General features: G+C 41.8%; 1 long non-coding RNA gene across 1 annotated transcript in view; it reads left to right on the forward strand.

Annotated features, from left to right (window-relative positions):
- Positions 1-6,129: 6,129 nt before the first annotated feature.
- The window catches only part of LOC124900612 (uncharacterized), a 36,890-nt gene continuing 19,131 nt past the window's right edge, over positions 6,130-23,888 (forward strand). Inside the window, exons 1-2 of the long non-coding RNA XR_001751670.2 lie at positions 6,130-6,300; positions 8,490-8,726. This is a non-coding gene — a long non-coding RNA (uncharacterized LOC124900612). The remainder of the gene's footprint in view (positions 6,301-8,489; positions 8,727-23,888) is intronic.

Genomic DNA, 23,888 nt, shown 5'->3' on the forward strand with positions numbered 1-23,888 from the left:
AAAAAGGTGAGATGATTTACCCACAATTTAAATCAATAGAGATTCCTAGTATGTCCTTACCAGGTGAGAAGCTTCTGGAATCCCAAACACCCAGCTCAGTTTTGTTGACTGGATGAAAGGATGTATAAGCAAATAGTGAAGATTCTTTTGCAAAAATGTAGTTTGACTTTTGTCTCCATTTATTTATTAATTTAGCTTACGTTTAGTGATCTTTGATTATATGCTTTCCCCTGTGCATTCCTTCTCCTCATCTCTGTCTAATCCCAAGCACTGGGGCTGCTAATATCCTTATAATATCATGAAAGTTGATACAGGGAAGTTTAAAAACTTTGTGAAATATGATACCAGGCAAAGGTTCACAGGTTCTTTTTAAGGCTGACTTCCCTTCCTTGGTTTCTAGCATCCGAGATCATTAAAAATAGATAGCATTGTAGACATTTTAAATACCTATCTTACTTTATTTCCACCATTAGTTTTGCTGTTTCTTCCTGTGGTCCTCTGAGGTTGAAGAGAGAAACCTCAAGGTCATTTTCAATATCAGGCAGTCTCACTGCTCAGGGCATGCTTTCCTATGTGTAGGTTTCTTTATTCTCCCATTCTGCTTCTTTTCACAAAAATGTGGTTTGCAAAAAATCCATATCGTTTACTCAAAACATAGGGTTCTAAAACTTGAGACACTGGGATCAATCTAACCATGCTATTTGGATTTAAAATGTGGGGAGGATATCCAGCTAGGTGAGCTATCTGATCATGAGTTCAAGATTGAAGGCTCTTTTTTTGATATTGGCATTTCAGCATCAAATGGGCAGCCTCTTCTCTGATCCTAATGTTCTCTCCTTTTAATAAGGCAGGTGGGACACGACTAAAAATTTCACTTATCCCAGCACCAATGCAGCCCCACCCACTTTGATTTGCTTTCCTGTAGCATTTATAGCCACATCTCTTTTTCAATCAAGTTTCTAAAGAAACTGGATTGCAAGTTTCTTTAAGTCATGGACTTCCCTTGCTCATCTTCTCTTTCCCACTCCAAAGTCTATGGCAATGTGTAACACAATAAATGCAGACTGTCTCAAAAGGATAACAGCTCCCTCAAAAGTGTCAAGATGAAGACATCAGAGCATGCTGACATTTTTATTCTTCTTAATTCTCGTGCACACCAATGGCTGGAGGCCTTCCATTGTCTCCTGGTCTGAGTGCTCTATGTATGCTTGTCAAAATAATGAAAATGTCTGGCTGTGTCATTGATCAAACCTCATGGAGTGAAGAAACAAGCCTCGGAAGGGTTGGCTCTGCTTTCAAAGGTACCGGACACCAGGCTGCTGGTGCAAAGTCCCTTGTGAAAGGCTGGCCCAAATGACAAGCTGTAAAGGTCCAGACTTTCAGTTATGCTCTGTAACAGTGTCTGAAATCAATATCCATAGCGCAGAAGGTGGTGGAGGATCAGAGGCTTGCAGTGCTGCCTCTGACATTTCAGGAGCATCTCAGTTGTCCCCCAGGGTGGTCTCGTCTCATTCCAGCCCAGAATGGTGCTGGGCGGGGGGAGCCCGAGCTCTTCTCTTTAGAAATCTTGGAGCAGTTTTTGATCTGTGCAAATCATCGGGAGGAAAAGAGACCCGGAACCCTTGGCTTGTGTTTTGTTCTAGCAGAGCCAGTTTTAAGTGAATTGATTTGTAGGGCTGCTGCCACAAAAAGAGTGATTCCTTTTGCTGCTGGGTGAGAGAAACAGTAAAATGAGGCTGTTCTTGATGGATCCCTAGGGCCAACCCATGCGAGAGGTGGATGGCCAGCCTTGCCAGTGGGCAAGAATACCAGTAAGCTCCTGGAGTACATTTCTTGTGCAAAATATCCAGTGCAGTGTCTGGCAGAGCACTGATGCTCCTGAGGATTAGGGCCCTTGTCTAATGCGGTGACATCTAAGTCTTCTATTGACATTAATATTATGTGTCCCTATTTTATGCAAGATGTGTATAGGCCCGTGGTATACTTGTGAAATATGGAGCTATTTTTGGCAATTTTCAAAGGGCCAGGGAGCATCCAGTTTCTCTTGTGGGGTGTCCCCTTATCTCCCTGATCTCTCTCTTTCAGCAACTTCCAGCACCCCCTACTTGTTTATCTGTTGTGCCCTGAGACTTACCTCCCTCCTGAAATATGGTAACATTGCATTCTAGTTGGTCTTTCTGTCCCTATTCTTCTGTCTCTAATTGAGTACCCTGCCTTCATTGTGTTCATTCTAACTCAGATAGGTTCATTCTTTTTTTTTTTTTTTTTTGTTGAGACAGTTTCGCTCTTGTTGCCCAAGCTGGAGTGCAATGGCGCGATCTCAGCTCACCGCAACCTCCGCCTCCCGGGTTCAAGCGATTCTCCTGCCTCAGCCTCCCGAGTAGCTGGGATTACAGGCATGTACCACCACTCCTGGCTAATTTTGTATTTTTAGTAGAGATGGGGTTTCTCCATGTTGGTCAGGCTGGTCGCGAACTCCTGACCTCAGGCGGCCCGCCCACCTCAGCCTCCCAAAGTGCTGGGATTACAGGCGCGAACCACCGCGCCTGGCCCAGATAGGTTCATTCTTATTCCTGGCATGGAGCTCCTCTGATACCTCTCATTATTATTGTTGGGGTATTTCCCAAAATGTTTGAATTGGTTCACTGCATCCTTGCCTCAGCCCATGTGCCAAGTCCCGCGTCTGGACTCTCCTTTCCATATATTTCTTTTCAAGGAAGGTAGAACTGTTTACCCCAACTCCGACATCACTGTACTATTACTCATTTGTATGGCAAGCTCCTTCCCATCTGTCAAGAGTCTGCTCAAATGCCATTTCATTTCTGTAATTCTTCATGCTTCCTCGACATGAATAATTAATCAATCTACCCCTCTCTGATCCCTTATAATGTTGCACATATTTTACAATAACGTTTATCATTCTGGGTTATTTTACTATTGATACTCATTTGCATATCATTCCTTAATAAGCGGTGAAGACAGGAACTTTACCTTGATTTATGTTTGAATTTCTGGTGCCTATCAATGGTGCCTGCTGTTTGTCTAATGGGTGCTTTGACAAAAGTCTGGGTTGAAACTTAAAATTTGAGACACATTTGTCTTTTGGATTTGAGCATCCGTGCATGTGACATGTTGATAAGTTAATATTTTATTGGTTATTGATACTATTTTAGGGTTGACCATGGAAATTGTTATCTTAAAATTAGATTCCATTGGATCTTGGCATTAAAACGTTCTTAAGAGGCTCGTGACCCACGTACTCTTTTGGTTTAGAACAAATTTTTCATTGCCAAAAAGTTCTGAGCCCTGATGCATGCAACATCCTGCATAGAATAATAAAGGGTCTGTACACTTTGTGGAGTCAATCCAAGAGAATGACCTACTTAGAAATCTCCAACTGAGAAGAATCTTTTAGAAAGAGGAGTCCATTTGATTTTCCTGTTTGGTGACTTATCTATGGGGAAGATAGGCTTGTCTATGAGAAACTCAGGTTGCATGATTTGTGTTTTCATTACCTGGGGCCGGATTTGTTACTGATACTCCAGAGGTTCTGCCTAGGCCCTGCTGTTTGCCGCACAGAATGCCAATCACTGAGACAAATGAGTATTGCCAGGGAAGAAGGCTTTAGTCACCTGTAATCAGGTGCTATAGTTAAGGAGAAGGGGAGATAAATTCTCAAATCTGTCTCCCCAGCTTATGAAAATTGGGGGATTTATATAGCAGGGAAGGCAGGAAAATAGGAATTAGGGACTGGTAAGAAAGCAATCATGATAGATGAGGAAACTGGCATCTCATTGTCTGGATGTGATGATCTGATGAGTTTCATTCCCTTGCCTGAGGGTCAGTTTCTTGAGGAAGGAACTCAGGTGAGACAAATGTAAGTTTCAAGTTTTAAGACAAGGGAGGGTGAATTTCTATGTTTATTCAAAAATCATAAATATTAGTTCTATGGGAAAATTGGATGGTTTCAGCTTGAGACTAACTTGGTGGGCACTGAAATCAGCATGATCCTTAGGTGGTCGTATGTTTTCATAGGCCTGGTCTCAGTCACTGCCTCAGCGCTAACTTAGTGGCAGAGAAACTCGCAGGTCTCTTTGTACTCACTGTCGACGTCTACTGAGGCATCACTCCTCATGGGCTCTGGAGTCCGAGTGCCTAGGCTCCAGTCCCAGCTCCACTAAGGGGTGTAAGCTTGTGCGAGTTACTTACTATCTTTCAACTTCAGTTTCTTCATCTGGAAGATGGAATAATAAAAATAGCCATGAGGGGTAAGATCACAATATAACACACTATAAAACACCAAAAGGTCTACGTCTAAGACTTGGCTTGGTGCGTGTTTCAGCCTCAACCCTGCTCCCACCTCCCCCATCTAGCTATTTAGCATGATTATTTTTATTTGATGCCTGTGCATTAAAAATCGGCTCTTCTAGACCTAGTTTTGATTTATTTCCATACATTTGATGAGGGTCAATATTTGTTGAAAGGAAATGTGATTTTGAATGTTTAAAACTGCCATTTTTTGAGGCCGTGCATGGTGGCTCATGCCTCTAATACCAGCATTTTGGGAGGCCAAGATGGGCAGATGACTTGAGGTCAGGAGTTCGAGACCAGCGTGGCCAACATGATGAAACCCCGTCTCTACTAAAAATACAAAAATTAGCTGGACATGGTGGCAGGTGCCTGTAATCCCAGCTATTCGGGAGGCTGAGGCAGGAGAATCGCTTGAACCTGGGAGGCAGAGATTACAGTGAGCCCAGATTGCACCACTGCACTCCAGCCTGGGTGACAGAGTGAGACTCCGTCTCAAAATAAGTAAATAAATAAATAAATAAATACATAGTTTAAAACTCCATCTCAAAATAAATAAATAAATAGTTTTAAAAAGTGCCATTCTTTGAATTAGGTACTCTAAAATAATATCATATACCATATAATCTAGGCCTGAAGATTGTTTCAATTTTTTAATTGATGCTGCCTATGTTTTACAAATATGCTAATAAGCATACAAATCTTTTGTAATAGAAAATTAGGTATTTTATTATTGTTCTAAAATGAGAAAAAAAAAAAAGATCCCATTGATTCCCATATCAAATTGTCTTGGTTCTTATTTTCTATTCCACAAACCTTGTAACAAACAGACCCTTTGCTATAGGTTTGAGAACAGTATATTAATAAACAAATACAATATAAAATTGCCATTCTTTAAAGTAACACATCTTATAAGCTAAATGATTTTAGGAGATGAAATGTCAGGCCAGTCACCAGCTTAGAGACCAATGCTTGTTAAATTTTAAGAAGTTAGGGTTAGAAGATTATTTTACACAAAACATTTGTTCAATACCTTTTGTATTTTCTTGAGGCACAAAAGCACATACATTAGTAAGTGATTCGTGTCCAACTTTTATTTTCTCTATGCTTTGGATTGTTCAGGTAGGCAAGAGGAGGTTGAAAACCAATTCTAAGGCACAGTGTTGTGGCTCATACCTGTAATCCCAGCACTTTTGGAGGCCAAGGCAGAAGGATTGCTTGAGCCTAGGAGTTCAAGGCTAGCCTGGTCAACATAGTGAGACTCCATCCCTACAAAAAGAAGAAAACAGATTCTAATTTTAGCTGTTACCTGATACCAGAAAAACTGATTTAAAAAAATTAAAATTGCTTATTTGAGGGTTTTTTTTTTTTTTTTTAATCGAGACGGAGTCTCGCTCTGTTGCCCAGGCTGGAGTGCAGTGGTGCAATCTCTGCTCACTGCAACCTCCGCCTCCCAGGTTCAAGTGATTCTGGTGCCCCAGCCTCCCAAGTAGCTGGGACTACAGGCACGTGCCACCACACTTGGCTAATGTTTTTGGTATTTTTAGTAGAGACGGGGTTTTGCCATGTTGGCCAGGCTGTTCTCAAACTCCTGACCTCAGGTGATCCGCCTGCCTCAGCCTCTCAAAGTGCTGGGATGACAGGTGTGAGCCACCGTGTCCAGCCTTAAGCAGTTATTGAAATGCATATCAAGTGCCAACCGATGCCTTGTCTTGTGCAATGTCTCATTTAGTCTCTATATAAATCTATGAAACAGGTCTTATGACCTGATTTTAGAGGTGAGGAAATTAAGGCCTGGAGAATTTATAAAAAGATTATGTTTTTAAAAGATAATTTTTTTTTTCTGTTGAATTAATGTTCATTGGGCCTTTTGTCTGATTTTCACTGATTTCAGGCACAGTGGATTGAAGAGGGGGGCAGTGCTGAGTCATTCACGTGGTGTGTGAGGGCTCCTGTTTGTAAATCAGGGATTCTTGCAGCCTGCTTTTTCAGGTAAACAACATTCCTTTGAATTTTGCTTCATGTTTAAAACAGAAATCATGTTATTTGCTTCTGATTTGGCTGCAGAGCAGGCAGCAGCATGCCCTCCAGAAATATCAAAGAAGGAAAAGCCTCCTGGCATGGCAAACTGCCTCAGCTGCTCTCTGAAAATAGACCTCAGTTGACTGAGGTTATGTCAGGTTCTGCTCCATGTTCTTTTGGAGGAGTTTAGGGGTTATCTCTAGGGTAATATGTACAACATCTTTTATCCAAATATAAATGCGACACGATTCTACATTTTATTATTAAAGCGTTTGAAAAGGCGGCTTTCTTTATGGAGTTGGAGGCATTTTTCTTTGTTCGTGGTGGGTTAGATCAGGGGTTCTCAACTAGGGGTCAGTTTTGTGCCCCCGCCCGGGGTCATTTGAAAATGCCTGGAGAAATTTTTAGTTGTCACAACTGGGGTTGCAACTGGCATCTAGTAGGTTAGGTCACAGATGCTGCTAAGCGTCCCACGATGCACAGGACAGAGAATTATCCAGTCCAAAATGTCACGTATGCTAAGGTTAAGAAATCCTGGGTTAGGTTAAATTGCCTTAAAACGTAGCCCACGTTTGCAACCTGAATCTATTTGAAAATGTTCCTCCCTTCCAGTGCAAGCAGAGTTAATGTGATGTTGAATTCTGTGGCTTTGTCTCAACTCCTAAGTCTGATGAGATGATCGATGCCTCGGCTTCTTTCCTTGCTGTCTGTTATTGACTTTTCTCTCCGCCTCTGGTGTCCAAGCTCTTGCTGCTGGGGGATGCTCACAGGATGGTGCAGGAGATGAGGGAGAGCTGGACCCACTTCCCACCTCCTGAAATATGGCTTTAATTAGATAAGGGAAAATGATCTAATAAAAATCAATTCAACACCAGGTCAATGAAGAGATTAAGGAGGCAGGAATAGATAGATGACCTTGCTGATAAGAATTAGAAATATGATTTGAATATTTTTGGAGAAAATAATTTATGTAAAAATTCCTCTCAAGTCATTTAGAAATATGGTTGCTGCATTCCTAAGACTCCCCACCCACCTCTTCCCCCACAAACATTGTGGGTGTTTTCCCTTGCATTCCATCTGTAATATTCAGTACACTAAGTGAAATACGGATGTGGGTGTGGTTATTTTGTGTCAATTTCAGTCTGATTTCCCCAACCTTGTCTGCATTCTTGCATTAATTAGCAAACTAATTTTCAAAGCCATGTTTTATATGCCTGATGCATTTTAGCACTCTGCTTGTTTTTTGGCAATGCGAATGTGGGCAGAATATGATTCTTGCACTTGAGAAACTGATGCAGTCTGGTAGTAGAGAACAATTTTTAAGGAAATATTCATAATTAATGGGGTTTCCAATTAATGCTCTATAGAGAGAAGGGGTCTGGAAATATGCATGGAGCAAATTCTGTTTAGGGAACTGAGAAAAATTTTATGCACAAGGTAATTAGGGAGTTAGGTATTGAAGGATGAGTAAGAGTTTGACAAGCAGAGGAATAATAGAGAGGCCAGCAGGTATTAAAGAGCATGGATGAACATGCTGTGGTAGGATTATCATGTGAACAGGGTTGAATGGGAGGAGATGAATCTGGATTTCATCCTTCAAAACATGGTGAGCTCTCTGAGGGAAGAAGTATCCTCTGTCCCTGTGGCAGTGCCAGGCACACAGCATCCATCCGTATCAGCACCAGAATGAACCTCAACAGCAAAGGGCTGTAGAGCGTATGTTCTGAGTCTCTAAGCAAAGAAATAATATGATTAAAGGTGGGGATCCCAGGGGAGTGTAAATGAGAACAGCAGTAGGAAGTCTGCTCATAAGGGCAGGATGTGACAAGGACCATGGCAGAAAGAAAGAAGGAGAGAGAAGGGGTTCTGGAGACACTTGGCAGGTAAATGTAATAGAATGTGATAAATAGAATAAATGGAAAAGTGATGTAAAGGGTAGACGGGATTGCCATTGTCTTGGGCAGTGCGGACCAGAGGATGATACTGAAGTCATTGTATTCACAGTGTGTGCCCAGTATGCCTAGAACAATGTAACTTTCAGAATGTCATGTTTGGGGTAGTACCTTCGTATGCTGGGGTAAGCACTGCTGTGGTTGAGAGTGGTCTACCTGAAGATTTGCTGGTACACATAGTGATTTTCTCCTGTGCTTTGTCTCCAGGGACATTGGCTGCTGTCTTCTGACCCACCCTGTGTGGCTTTGGCGTCTCCTGTGACCTCCCAGTATGGGTCTTGGCCTCATCCTGCCTCTTTGTCTTTCTGGCCCACCACCCACAGCTTGAATCTCAGGCTCCAACAGTTGCCTGACCCCCAGATTCTGATGACAGCCTACCTACTTGTTCTTCAGGCCCTCACCAGACTCACTGCCCAGACACACCACACAGGAGAACATGAAAGGGTGAATGAATCTTTCATCATTTGATGACCAAGTTGGCATTCTTTTACATTCCAGCCACCAGAGGAAGGTGTATTTTAACACAATTGCCCTCACATCCTCCTTAACAGGATTTACATAAGTTTATTAACACATATGTTTCTACAAAATCAAGTTTTGAGAACCATTTTTATACACTGATCTGGGACATTTTGGGGATATGAAATTAACTTTAGCACACACAGCAAGAAGAAAACCGAACAACAAATTCTACAAACACCAAATTTGCTGTGAAATTTACATTTCAGAATCTCTCAAGAAATAGTGCCCAGCAGCAATTCTTACTGTTTTCACTTTTTCCCCCGTCTTCACATTTTTATGTTTGACAGTGCCAACATATTTTCTCAACATTTATTCTGAAAGGAATGTACTTTGTGAATTCCTTAAATGCAGGATGATTCTGATTTTATTGGCCTAATAGCTCCTCCTTATGCGTGGGTTAGTATAACAGAATGCATTTGAGACCTGCTATACTATTTTAAATTAAGACATTTCATGTAGCACATAGTATTTTAAAATGAAGAACATTGTCTTGGAAAGCACACAGGCTAACTGCTATTTTCTTGATGCAAGAAATATTTAAATTCTCTGTGCTTCAGTCTATACAATCAGTTTTCCAGGGATGCTGTGTATATAAAACGAGGGAGTGTATTAAGAGTATCAGCATGTAGTAGGTCCTTCAACAGAAGCTGGAGGTTCTGGCTCAAGGTCTGGCTTGTGTTCAATGAACACCAAACCACATAATTGCCCTTGCCCTCATCCTCTCTTAATGCATAAAGAATTTAACCTAGTCAGTCAACTGGCACAATGTAGTAAAAAAGACACACACACACACACACACACACACACACACACACACACATTTGTTCTAATGTTAGTCTTTTTATAAATGACAATTGAGTAGACATGCAACCTAGGCAGTGTGAAGGACCGGAATTAGTAATAAGTATTTCAGTACACAGCCTACAAGGCAGAGTTGGGGCCAGGTTGCAAGGAAAGGGCAGCGACAGGGTGATGGACACGCTCTATCTACTATCAACCAATCTCTACACAGAACCAGGTTCATTTACATTTGCTCTTTGTGACATCCTGCAAGAAGGTAGTACTAACTCAATTTATAGATGGGGTAACACAAGGTCTGAGACTTTAAGTAACTTTCCAAGATCACATGACCAGTAAGACTTGATACTGTGATTTAGTTTGAAATCTTTTATCTTTCCAATGTTCCATGCTGCTTCCTAGGGACTAGAAATGAGCCCATTTGCAGACACTGAGAAACATGTAAGAGTCTTGATAGCCCTTGCCCCTGAAGGAAGCTGTCTGCATTAATATGTCAATAGGCAGGAGGACAGATTCAGCCATGGGGTGGTCAGTGTAAGTCTCCTGGAAGTTTCTTCCCACCATCTCTAAGAATCTTCTGCAGCCTCTGACATTGTCCCCACGAGCTCTGCCCTGCATCCAGCTCAGGAAGGGTCTGGGCTTTATCAGGTGGGTCAATGGCACTCAACTACCAGGAAGGAATATTACACAATGGGGTTGCTGGTTCCTAACTCTAACACTACGTTTGCACTTACTAGAGTTTTTTATGAGCACTCTAGGCTGATCTGGTTAATGTTTATCTACCCCCTCATTCTAAGAAAGGATTTAGACAATTTTTGGAGTATAATAATAGAAATAACAGCAGGTTAAGTGTAGACAATGGGAAAATAAAATGAGTCAACACATCAAATGCATAACTCAAAGACTCACCATTGAACACAATGAATTTGGCAGAGATGGGTTCCGGGGTCGTGCTGCTGAGAGTTTTGGGCTAAAGGTGATGCCAGATGAGGCTCTGTTCTGAAGACTCTTTTTTTATTTTTTATTTTTTTTTCTGAGACAGAGTCTCACTCTGTCGCCCAGGCTGGAGTGCAGTGGCGTGATCTTGGCTCACTGCAACCTCTGCCTCCCGGGTTTAAGTGATTCTTCTGCCTCAGCCTTCTGAGTAGCTGAGACTACAGGCATGCACCACCACGCCCAACTAATTTTTGTATTTTTAGTAGAGACAGGGTTTCATCATATCGGCCAGGCTGATCTCGAACTCCTGATCTTGTGATCCACCCGCCCCGGCCTCCCAAAGTGCTGGGATTACAGGTGTGAGCCACCGTGCCCGGCCCTCTCGAGACTCTTTACTTGCTTAGGACATCCTTGCAACAGGTCACTTTTTGTTTGCTGATACATGGTCTAGAGATTGGGATTTGCAGAATTCTGCCAGATTGTTATTTCTAATTGGCTTTATGGTGGAGGGTGTGTTGAGAGACTAACGACTAAGAAAGGCACAGGACATTCTGCAGGTAGTCATAGGTTGTATTGTTGTATCAGTACTCTGGGGGTGAAGCAAACTGCCCTGCTGTCCCAAAGAATAGCACTGTAGGCATAAACCAGGGTCCTATTTATAGGGAGGCAGTCTATGTTAGCACTTAGGGACACAGATTATAGGTAGAGTAAGACAGATTAAATCATGGCTGTGCCGCTTACTAGCTGAGTCACCTTGGGCAAGAGGTTTAATGTCACCATCTGGAAAACAGAGAGGTTCCTCACGTTATACCTTAATGTAACATTCTATAAAGGATACTTTAGTGTGAAAACACTGAAAATGCCTATTTTAAACACAGTGAATACTAGAAAGTATAGATACATTTCCAGATACCCATTATTCAAAAATTTGATTCATCCACACTGCCCAGAAATGGTTAAATATCAATTAACAAGTATGTCATTAGTAATAAAGAAACAACCACAGGCTTTGTCAATCATTCTTAACTTAAAAATACGGACTCTTGGCCTGATGTAAGAATAATGATGTTGAGGCAAAAAGATAAAGGCGTCACCTGGAGAAAGGAGTGAATTAGACGATTTTTGGAGTATAATAATAGAAATAACAGCAGGTTAAATGGAGATAATGGGAAAATGAAGTGAGTTGGGGTGGGAGTAGAAGGGAAGGCAGAGTGGTAGTGGATGCATATCTACCTCCTCCGTCTTCCCCTTGGCATCCAGGAAGGTGCCGATAGATGGTGATGAATTGCATTTTATTCTTTCTGAAGACTGCTTACTTTTGATATTTTTTTGAGGCAGAAAGGAATGAATGTAGCTTTAACCTCTTTGTACTATGAGTGTTCGTGACCCTGGGATAATATTTTAAAAGTGTATTATACTAATGTATTTTTGTTCTCCATAAATTACGTTGTCTAAAGGGCAACTCATTTACCCAAGACATTAATTTCATCAGAGATGCTTAGATCAGGAAGATCAGCACTCACTTTTGGGTTTCCAGTAGATTTTGTTGAGTCTACATTGGAAGCTAGGGTGTGTTGAAAGAGAAAATGTTTATCTTAATTCCACTCATACTTCTTAGCATACCAAGAGCCAAGACACAGTATTGAGAGGAGAAAATATAAGTTTAAAGGGACTGTCCTATTATATAGGAAATGGTAGGAGCCCTTCCACCATGGGAAGGAGGAGGCCAGCCAGTGGAGGCAAGAATCAGAGAGAACAACTTGGGTGAAAATGCTTATGAGGTCACTCAGAGGGACCCAGGGACTCTTACCTGGAGGAAGGTGGGGCAGATAGATTGAGGAAAGAAGTAAAAGGTAAAGGATTGAAGGAAAAGAGGGCACTGATGCCCTACCACCTGTGCCCTTCCTCCTATTTGAATTCTGGGGGGACCACCTAGTGAGAGGCCTGCCGGCCAACATGCAGCTGTGGCTACCGTTGAATATAGTATGTTTGCGAAGGTTAGGCAGGGAGACCCAGAGCTAGTCCTCCTAGTTCCCATGACTTGTGTGTGACATGTAAGAGGCCCATATCTCAAGGTCAGGGGGCCTGCAATATAGGTGAGAATTAAAAGTTTGTGTCCTCTATAAACAGTGTGCAATACAAACATATTTATGTCGTAACCCAGATTCCTTGAAAGGATGTCTTTCCAGGTTATCGTAAGGATTACTTTAGACACTGGATGTGTATGTGTAAGGACTACTTTGGATGCCATATGCCATGAGTTTAATACAGGGTGTTGAAGACAACAAATAGTCAATAGATGGCATCTAATGTTACTGTTACTAATACAGAGTGGTCGTTAATTTGGAAGTAGCAGTTGATTTGAAAAGTACCAGTGTGGGCCGGGCGCAGTGGCTCATACCTGTAGTCCCAGCACTTTGAGAGGCTGAGCTGGATGGATCACTTGATCCGAGGAGTTCACGACCAGCCTAGGCAAGATGACAAAACCTTGTCTCTTCAAAAGATATAAAAATTAGCCAGGCATGGTGGTGCACACCTGTAGTCCCAGCTGCTTAGGAAGCTGAGTTGGGAGGATGGCTTGAGCCTGGAGGTTGAGGTTGTAGTGATCCATGATTGTGCCCTTGAACTCCAGCCTGGGATGACAGAGTGAGACCCTGCCTCAAAAAAAGAAACAAGAAAAGTATGAGTGTGATTACTCTGGGAACATCATCTAGAAAAGTCTGAAAAATCTTGTGTTAAGAGCAATTCTGGTGTGGGTGTGGTTGCTTATAGGTGCAATAAAGGATGAGGGTGTGAGGCAGGCATTGTCTGGAATAAAAGTAGTGAAGTCTTCATCGGCACACCCATGAGGGTAAATGTGGCACCATATTCTAAGGCAGAACAGGTCAGTGCAAACTCATGGGCACAGGCCACCCTGAGTTGGCCCAAACTTGCCACATTATGGCAAGCTGGGAGTCAGTGGGACCACATCTTGGAAAAAGGACTGAGGTGGATGAAGAGATAGAACTGATCCTCTTGCAAAATGGGTTTGTGGACCAAAAAAGCAAGTCTGTTGGTATAAAGGTAAAATAATCTTCTCTAGATCTGAGAGTAACTTGAGGGGAGAGACCTGTTTATCCAGACTTGTAGCCCCCAAAAGCTCCCATAATGACTGATACATATTAGGCCTTCAATTAATGTTTGAAGAAAAGCTTATAGACAAGGATTTGTGCCCAATTTGATGGAGCAGGGCAGAAGATGCTTTGACAATCTCAGATGTGCTGGGGGTTAACATCATGCCAAATGGGGCCTATCCAGAAGATTTTGACTTTAAAACAAGGGCCAGGAGACCAAATACGGACTCCAGTGCTGTGTTACCGTGTCATCTGTATACCAGGGATGTATTACGTGAATAAGAAACTCAAAGAATCCTGGGATATTCCCATCAAAATTCAAGGGTGACTTTTTTTTTTTTTTTTTTTGAGACGGTGTTTTTGCTCTTCTTGCCCAGGCTGGAGTGCAGTGGCATGATCTCAGCTTACTGCAACCTCTGTCTCCTGGGTTCAAGCGATTCTTCTGCCTCATCCTCCCAAGTAGCTGGGATTACAGGTGCCCGCCATCACGCCTGGCTAATTTTTTTGTAGTTTTAGTAGAGACGGGGTTTCACCATGTTGGCCAGGCTGGTCTTGAACTCCTGATCTCAGGTGATCTGCCCACCTCAGCCTCCCAAAGTGCTGGGATTACAGGCATGAGCCACTGTCAAGAGTGATTTTTTTTTTTTTTTTTTTTTTTGAGACGGAGTTTCGCTCTTGTTGTCCAGGTTGCAGTGCAATGGTGCCATCTTGGCTCACTGCAACCTCCACCTCCTGGGTTCAAGCGATTCTCTTGCCTCAGCCTCCCGGGTAGCTGAGATTACAGGCATGCACCACTAGGCCCAGCTAATTTTTTGTATTTTTAGTAGAGATGGGGTTTCTCCATGGTGGTCAGGCTGGTCTCGAACTCCCGACCTCAGGTGATCCACCCGCCTCAGCCTCCCAAAGTGCTGGGATTACAGGCGTGAGCCACTGTCAAGGGTGATTTTTTTGTTTTTTTTTTTTTTTTGGGACGGAGTTTCACTCTCGTTGTCCAGGTTGGAGTGCAATGGTGCCATCTTGGCTCACTGCAACCTCCACCTCCCGGGTTCAAGCGATTCTCTTGCCTCAGCCTCCCGGGTAGCTGAGATTACAGGCATGCACCACTAGGCCCGGCTAATTTTTTGTATTTTTAGTAGAGATGGGGTTTCTCCATGGTGGTCAGGCTGGTCTCGAACTCCCGACCTCAGGTGATCCACCCACCTCAGCCTCCCAAAGTGCTGAGATTACAGGCGTGAGCCACCGCGCCCGGCCAAGGGTGATTTTTAATGTATTTCTTGGTAGATGGCCCAGTTCTGTGGAACAGAAATTCCAGCATCTGATCCTCTACTGCTGATAGATGTGGCCTTGAAAAGAACTTAGAGATTTTAAAGTCTCACTGAGGGTATAAAAAAGTCTTTAAGATGAAAGATTAATTCATAGACTATGAGTTCCATTGTTTGTTTGGTTCACCTCGGTGCCTGGGAAATAGTAAGTTCTCAGTAAGTATTAACTGAATTTAAATCATTTTGTGGAGAATTCTGTTGCATCTGGTACGTGCCGGCCATTGTGTCAGCTGCAGATGTATCCCTTTCAATAGGGGGCTGAGAGTCTAGTAGAGAAGACAGGAAAAAAGACAGTGACCGTGTGGCATGGTACATGTCATGACTGAGTAATAAACAGGAGATTTTTATGAGAGCAACAGTCTTTCTCCATATCAGAGACCATCAAATGGTGGTCTACAGCTGGAGGCTACCTGCACATGTGTTTTATTTGCTATTCCCAGGGTAGGCCAACCTGGAATTTAAGCATTTTTAAAAGTCTGTCATTAGCATTTACAAATAAGTATTGTTTTGTCACAAGATCTTTGGGGTGTTGCTTCACCAGCTGGAAGCCTCTGTGGCCAGCAGCGCCTCCGCCTGGGTTTTACTTGCGTCCACTGGGCTTGTTCTGCCCACTTGGCCCGGCAGGCTGAGCTGGGCTCATGCTACTGCCCAGATCCCACGCCTGCCAAGGGCGAGCCAGGTGCGGAGCAGCAAGGGGTGTGTGAGTGAGCGAGCATGGAGTCTGGCCACTGTGTGTAGCCATGCGTGCTGGCTGCAGCAGGGTGGGCCACTCCAGGCGCCGGCACAAGCGCCGGCTCCAGCCCTGTGTGAACCTGCAGCTGGAGCATGTGTACCACAAGCGGCTTCTGCTGTGGGCCCCAGCGTCTGGTCAAGGGGAATGCAATTGCGCCCAAAAGCTTGGAGATGCCAGGAACCGCAACACCCCAAAGAGGGTGTTAGAGCATGTCACAGCCCTGGCTTGAGGAGCCCCAGGTCAGGGCTCCCAGAAGGGCCTCAGCTCTTCTCTCCTTCTCATCACCTGCAGTGTGGTGAGTCGGGGGTGTGTTTCATCCCTGTTTGTGTTATAGCCCTTTCAGTCCTGCCATTTGGCAGGTCCTGAGTTCTTTTCCTACATCCAGGAAGAATGAGGTGCGTGGACAACTGGAGGGTGAGCAAGGTGGAGAGGAGCTTCACTGAGCCACAGAACAGCTCTCAGAAGACTCGCAGTGGGCAGCTCCTTTCCGTAGGCAGGTCGTCCAGCGAGTATGTGAGTCTGACTGAGTCTGGGGGTTTTTACGTTCTCAGAATGGAGGAAATGCTGACTGGTTTATGGTTGGTCTGGAAAAAAGCATCATCCGATTAGTCAAACCGTCATCAATGAAGTACTCACTCTGGGCTTCAGACTTTGCCTGGAACTGGCAGCCTGGTACCCAGGCTTCAGGCTGTCCCTGCCTTGAAGGTGGGGCTTCACTGGGGACCTGCCACTTCCTGCCTGGGATGATGCTTCCTGCTGCCATCAACATGATGTCCACAGTGCCCAGGCTGTTTGCCCTGAAGGGTGCCTGCAGGCTAATGTCGAGCCACCCTCAGCCCCCTGGTCTCCCTCTGGTGCTGATTGGCACCCAAAGTCCAGAGGGGACTGAGGCAGCAGGGGGCTGGTGTGTCAGCACCACCCACAGAGTGCACGTGCCCAGCTGGGTTGGGACATTGCCTGGGCTCAGCCACAACTTTGCTCCGCACTGCAGCACTGGAGTGGGCACCAGGAGCGGGAGAGGCCAGGCAGCAGGAGCAGGCACTTTCAAACCTGTTGGCGGGTGAGGAAGGGGCTTCCTGGGCTCCAAGAGCTCAGGGATACCCTAGTCCGGAGCTGTGGCTGGGTGGCTGCAGCGGCGCCTGGAAGCCTGGGGCTCCTGTCCCACTGGCTCGCGGGAAAGGGTAGGGGGTGGGCTCCTGCCTGTTCTTGGCCCCTGCTGACTCCACAGAGTGCACAGCCCTGGCAGCACCTCCCCCGCTGTAGCTGGCATCTTCACAGCAGCCGCTCCAGATGGGCCACTGCTGCCATCAGTTTTCCTGTGGAAATCTTTTAAGTTTAATCAATGGTTTATGTTATCAGTAAGGCTTCTGGTCAACAATTGGCTATTAGTACTTAAGTTTTGGGGGAGTCAAAAGTTATATTCAGATTTTTGGCTGCATGAGCTGTTGGCATTCCTAACCCCTGTGCTGTTCAAGGTTCAACTGTACTGGATTTTCTTGAAAATTCAGAAGTGCTGGAAACCCTGGGCCCGGATTTCTATGTGACAGCAATTTTGGGGCTGAGTGGCTTCATTTAGATGGGGCATGTGCTCCCCATATTCTGCTCTCCCCTTAACACTGAGGTTGATGATAGTGACCTCAACATCAATGAGGTAGTGCTGTTTCCATGTCATAGAATTAAGAGGAGGTTGAAGTATTTCCCATTCTCACTTCAAGCAAAACTGGAACAATGGAAGATACACTTAGGGCACCATATTTCAAGCAAGAAAGGAAGAGGGCAAATTTCCTTGTACATATAAAACATACTCCTAGGTGTTTAATGTACAAACCAATTGTGTCTGTGCAAAGTGACATAATTTAAAACATCCTTCAGAAATAAACACATCAAGAACCATGGGCTACTCAAGTGAAAATAAAATTACTAAAATTTCAACAGGGTTTACATTTGAATGAAAATAAATTACAATGCTGTTAAATTCAGTAAGTGACAAAAATTGGGTATTGCAGCTTTTAGGAGATAGTAAGTGCATAAAAAGGGATTTTCTAGGTGCAGCAGAAAGTATGTATCATGAATAGTCATAGAAACACATCCTCTCAGTGTGTGAAATGCTTGAGAACCACTGCACTCCAGCCTGGGCTACAGAGTGAAACTCTGTCTCCAAAAAGAAAAAAATGGTTTAAGAGACAGGACAGTCTATGAGTAAAAAATGCAAGAGGTCTTGAACTGTAACATGCAGGTTTGTTACTTAGGTATACACGTGCCATGGTGGTTTGCTGCACCCATCAACCAGTCATCTACATTAGGTATTTCTCCTAATACTATCCCTCCCCTAGCCCCCCACCCCATGACAGGCCTTGGTGTGTGATGTTCCCCTCCCTGTGTCCATGTATTCTCATTGTTCAACTCCCACTTATGAGTGAGAATATGTGGTGTTTGGTTTTCTGTTCTCATGTTAGTTTGCTGAGAGTGATGGTTTCCAGCTTCATCCATGTCCCTGCAAAGGACATGAACTCATCCTTTTTATGGCTGCATAGTGTTCCGTGGTGTACATGTGCCACATTTTCTTTATCTGTTCTATCATTGATGGGCATTTGCGTTGGTTCCAAGTCTTTGCTATTGTGAACAGTGCTGCAGTAAACATACATGTGCTTGTGTCTTTATATAGAATGATTTATAATCCTTTGGGTATATACTCAGTAATGACATTGCTGGGTCATATGGTATTTCTGGTTCTAGATCCTTGAGGAATCACCACACTGTCTTACACAATGGTTGAACTAATTTACACTCCCACCAACAGTGTAAAAGCATTCTTATTTCTCCATATTCTTTGCAGGATCTGTTAATTCCTGTCTTTTTAATGATCGCCATTCTAACTGGTGTGAGATGGCATCTCATTGTGGTTTTTGATTTGCATTTCTCTAACGACCAGTGATGATGAGCTTTTTTTCATATGTTTGTTGGCCACATAAGTGTCTTCTTTTGAGAAGTATCTGTTCATATTCTTCACCCGCTTTTTGATGGGATTGTTTGTTTTTTTCTTGTAAATTTGTTTAAGTTCCTTGTAGAGTCTGGATATTAGCCCTTTGTCAGATGGATAGATTGCAAAATTTTTTCTCCCATTCTGTAGGTTGCCTGCTCACTCTGATGGTAGTTTCTTTTGCTTGTGCAGAAGCTCTTTAGTTTAATTAGATCCCATTTGTCAATTTTGTCTTTTGTTGCCGTTGCTTTGGTGTCATGGAGTCTTTGCCCATGCCTATGTCCTAAATGGTATTGCCTAGGTTTTCTTCTAGGGTTTTAATGGTTTTTGGCCTTACATTTAAGTCTTTAATCCATCTTGAGTTAATTTTTGTATAAGGTGTAAGGAAGGGGTACAGTTTCAGTTTTCTGCATATGGCTAGCCAGTTTTCCCAACACTGTTTATTAAATAGGGAATCCTTTCTCCGTTGCTTGTTTTTGTCAGGTTTGTCAAAGATTTTATGGTTGTAGATGTGTGGTGTTATTTCTGAGGCCTCTGCCCTCTTCCATTGGTCTATATATCTGCTTTGGTACAAGTACCATGCTGGTTTGGTTACTGTAGGCTTGTAGTATAGTTTGAAGTCAGGTAGTGTGATGCCTCCAGCTTTGTTCTTTTTGCTTAGTATTGTCTTGGCTATATGGGCTCTTTTTTGGTTCCATATGAAATTTAAAGTAGTTTTTTCTAATTCTGTGAAGAAAGTAAATGGTAACTTGATGGGGATAGCATTGAATCTATAAATTACTTTGGGCAGTGTGGCCATTTTCATGATATTGATTCTTCCTATCCATGAGCATGGAATGTTTTTCCATTTGTTTGTGTCCTCTCTTATTTCCTTAAGCAGTGGTTTGTAATGAGTATGTGATACTCTGTGATATAGAAGTTCCATAATTAATTTAATTTTTTTGTTTGTTTTCTTTTTTTGAGATAGAGTCTCACTCCGTCACCTGAGTTGGAGTGCAGTGGCACGATCTTGGGTCACTGTAGCTTCCACCTCCTGATTTCAAGTGATTCTCATGCCTCAGCCTCCCTAGTAGCTGGACTACAGGCGTGTGCCACCATTCCCGCCTAATTTTTGTAGTTTTAGTAGAGATGGGTTTTGCCATGTTTGCCAGTCTGGTCTCAAACTCCTGGCTTCAAGTGGTCACCTGCCTTGGCCTCCCAAAGTGCTGGGATTACAAGCATGAGCCACTGCACCTGACTAATTTAACTGTTTTCTTATTGATGGACCTTCACTTCATTTCTATTCCTTTGACATTACGTGCTTATGTGTTGAATATATATATATGTGTGTGTGTGTGTGTGTGTTTATTTCTCTAGAATAGACAACCAGGAATGGGATTTCTAGGCCAAAAGATATGCATATTTTTAGTTTTAGTAGATGTTTTCTGTTTGCTTTTCCAAAAAGTCTACATACAGTAATTTACATTTCAAGTGGCAAAATATGCAAGCATGATTCCTTTCATATATTCACTAGCAATAAATGTTAACTTTTAAAAAATAAATGTTGCCAGTATGATCATTATAACTGTTATCTCACTGTTACTTTAATTATAATTTTCTCAATACTTAATGGATTTTATTTTTATATAACCACCATTTGGATTCAGCTTCTTGTGACTTGCTATTTATATTCTTTTCTTATTTTTCTATTCAGTTGATTTTTTTGCTTGTCAGTTTGTAAAATCTTTTTGCATTGTATAGGTATTACCTCTTTGTCATTTACATGGAAAATATTTTTCCCAGTTCTATCATTTACATATTGAAGTATATTTATGACAAACAAAAATTTTGTAAGTTTTGACATAGTTTAAAATGTCTATTATTTCTTTTATAGTTTCTGGGTTTCTGGCCTCAGTTAGCAGGTTATACCCATTCGTAAATTGTATGGGCATTCTCCTAGATTTTCTTTTAGGGTTTTTTTTATTGTAGTAGTAGTGAGAATGGGGTGGAGAAGGACTATAGTGAGTGCAAAGGAATCTAAAGGACTCCAGGACAGGAACTACCTGGATGAAAGAATGGAGTGCAGTCTCTCCCAAAGTCAGCTTGGTTTTGCTCTTTCTCTTTCAGGGCAAAATCAAACAACAACTCATTCCCTCACCAATGGTTCTATACATGATCTGCCGATTAAAAGTCCCAAGGACAGTTCAAACAGTAGTCATGATTTGCAGTTGAGCCTATTTGTTAGATTCTTCCCATCCTCTACATGTAGTTTCTGATCTCTCTTCAGAACACACTTGCCTAATCATGGTTTATCTTGTTCCCTTATAACCGAAGCCTGTTGTGCCTTCTCAGACCTTGTCTATATCTGGAAACTTTCAACACTCTTTTAGCTTTTGCTTCTAAAACTTTTCTGTCTCTCAATTTACTGCTTCACTAATCCTAACTAAACACTCAGAGACCTAACCAATCTTTGCACCCCAGGCTTCTTCATTCAGTTCAGCCAATCCTCAGGGGGTACTAACCCTTGGTCCAAGGGTCATATGGTAGAACACAAGCTTTTGATCAGTTTTTGGGAAGAAAGTGTGAGTTCTCAGGCGTCATAAAACTTCATCTATTTTAAAAAATGCTTCCATAAGTAACAAGGGACATTAGCACTGGGAATGTTAATGGTGGAGTGGAACCAAGGCAATCATTTATCAATATGAGAACTTTAAAATTGAGTCTTTCAGAGCACTCTTTTCTCTATGAGTTTTTTCCTCACTATTATGAACGTGATTTCTTAAAAGACTATTTCCATTTCTCTCTTGGTACTATGTAAAGTATTAATGTCCTAAAAGTGGCTCTAAATCCTTACCTTAGAATTAAAAAATAATTCACTTATCAAAGATGACTTTGAAAATCTCCAGACCAAATTTTGTTTATATGTATATATAAAGCTTTCCATTCAGGGTTTTTCAAAAAGGTCTAGTCTTAAGCTTTGTTTTGAGGAGCCAGGCCAATATACACTGATTTCATATATAGCACATTTGTTTGCTTACTAATTAATTTACCTATCCCATGGCATTTGAAACTTTGCCCTGGAGAAATGTTAGCTTTTGTTTGATACATAAATCGTAACTCATCCTGCAACCTACTTCTTAAAGTTGCCCATCTGACAAGTAAGCACCATCACACGTCATGCCTGCAATTTTGTATGTTCTTGTAACTGTTGTTTGTAAGCTCATGTTTTAACTGTAGGGTTTTTTTGGTTTGATTTTTGCTCTGTTTTATTTTTGTTGTCCCCATAGTTTGTTAGTACACATGGCAAGTCTCTATAGATGTGAAATCTGTCATTGCAACTGAGTTTCAGCTGGCCTGGGGTGTGTCTTAGAACTGCATCCCTTCTCAAGATCCTTTAATGCAATTTTTCATGTATATACTAGAGTCTTAATTTGAATACATTGAATCTCAAACTCATCCTTTGCATATTTTAAGAATATGTACAGCAGTTTTCATTTGACATGGTAATTAGAAAAGTGACAAAAATTTTGTTTTGATGTAAAAATTTTATTCATTTATCAATTATATCCTTTTGCCACAATTACAAATAAAAATTAAGGTAGAATCCGATATTAGTACACATAAAGCAAGGCAAAAAGACACCTACAAATACAACTTTAAAAAGCAGATGAGCATAAGTGCTTTAGGGATCGGTATATATGGTGACTAGATACTCAGATTAGATAAATTCCTAGAAACCAAGGCAAAAAAAAAAATGTTGTATTATGTAACTTTCAGTATGAAAGGATGTATATGCATTTGTGGAAAGGGGTGAACCTTCTCTTGGCATTGGCTTTCAGGTAGAATTTATTATGTGGTTTCTTATATGCAGGACATTTGATAATTTAACAGATGGAGACATTTTAAAGTATAATTATGTAAATAATTAGAAACTTTTTCAAATTTGTTAAATGCTTCTATTTAAAAATATAAGTGGTGGTGGTGGTGGTAGTAGGGACTGGGGGAACGGGAGTGGTGAACATTAACTTTATTCAGAGAAAACATTGCTGTAGAAATCTAAGAAAATATAGGACATTCATGGCATTTCCTGAAGATAATTTTTGTTCTATGAGATGCTAGGTCCATGAGAAGCCCCATTGACAAGCATCTGACATGTTTGAGAAATTTTGCAGATTCTAGAATACACAGGAGCCTTATGTTAAATGAGAAGCTCTGAAAACAAAGAAACTTGACTCTTTTTGTTCAATTTACTGTTTTCCAAACTCGTGGATAAAACATTTTCAAAGAATATTATTTATTTCTGTTAAGATCCTGTGGTGATAGATTTCTCTCTAAGAACCTTTCCAGCTTGAAGAGTGCCTAAATATTTCTGAGAAACAATCACTGATTGGTGCAAATATAGGATGCGAATCCAAAATATGAACACTCATGGCTGACTTTTCTGAAGAGTTCCTGAATGTCATAGCATTGACTAAAATATAAAACATATGCTTTAGTAACTGGACCCATCAGCTATTTAACTGATAATCTCTTGAGAAAATTCAGGTTTCATTTGTGTTCTTTTCCAGAAAGAAGGTCATTCTACAGCTCAACAAGGGAGAGTCACAGGGGTACCTTTAAGAAAGACAGCTTTTCGAAGTAATAGCAGACTCTTCAAGCACTTGGGCATGACAATACAACACTGATCTAGGCTGGAAATATGGCTTTCCTTTTTGCTGGTTGTAGAGATTTGAGCATGTTACTTTACTCGTCTGAATTTTTTTGCCCTGTAGTTAAAATGGAGATAATACGATGTGTCTCTGACAGGATTGTCATGATAATTCAGTGTGGTAAGACTGATCTAAAAGTGTTTACCCTGGGGATGAAAAGGTAGTGGGAGTTACAGACTGTTAGGTCAATTTCATTTTTTATTAGGTTAAAAATCCTGAGATTTTCGCAATAAAATATGAATAAAATGATTATAGTCTGAAAAAATATAGGGATACTTATGGATTATTGGTTCTTTTATTGCATTTTAATAGTATTTTATCAAAAGTTCATACTCTATGGATTTAAAGAAATCCCTAGTAGAATCCACGCTGGCTTCTTTGCAGAAATTGACAAGCAGATCCTGAAATTCATATGGCAATTCAAGGGACCCAGAATAACCAAAACAATCTTGAAAAAGAATGACAACGTTGGATGATTCACACTTCCCAACTTCAAAATTTACTGCAAAGCTGT

The sequence above is a fragment of the Homo sapiens genome, chromosome 15 (genome assembly GCF_000001405.40).
Source record: "Homo sapiens chromosome 15, GRCh38.p14 Primary Assembly".
NCBI lineage: Eukaryota > Metazoa > Chordata > Mammalia > Primates > Hominidae > Homo > Homo sapiens.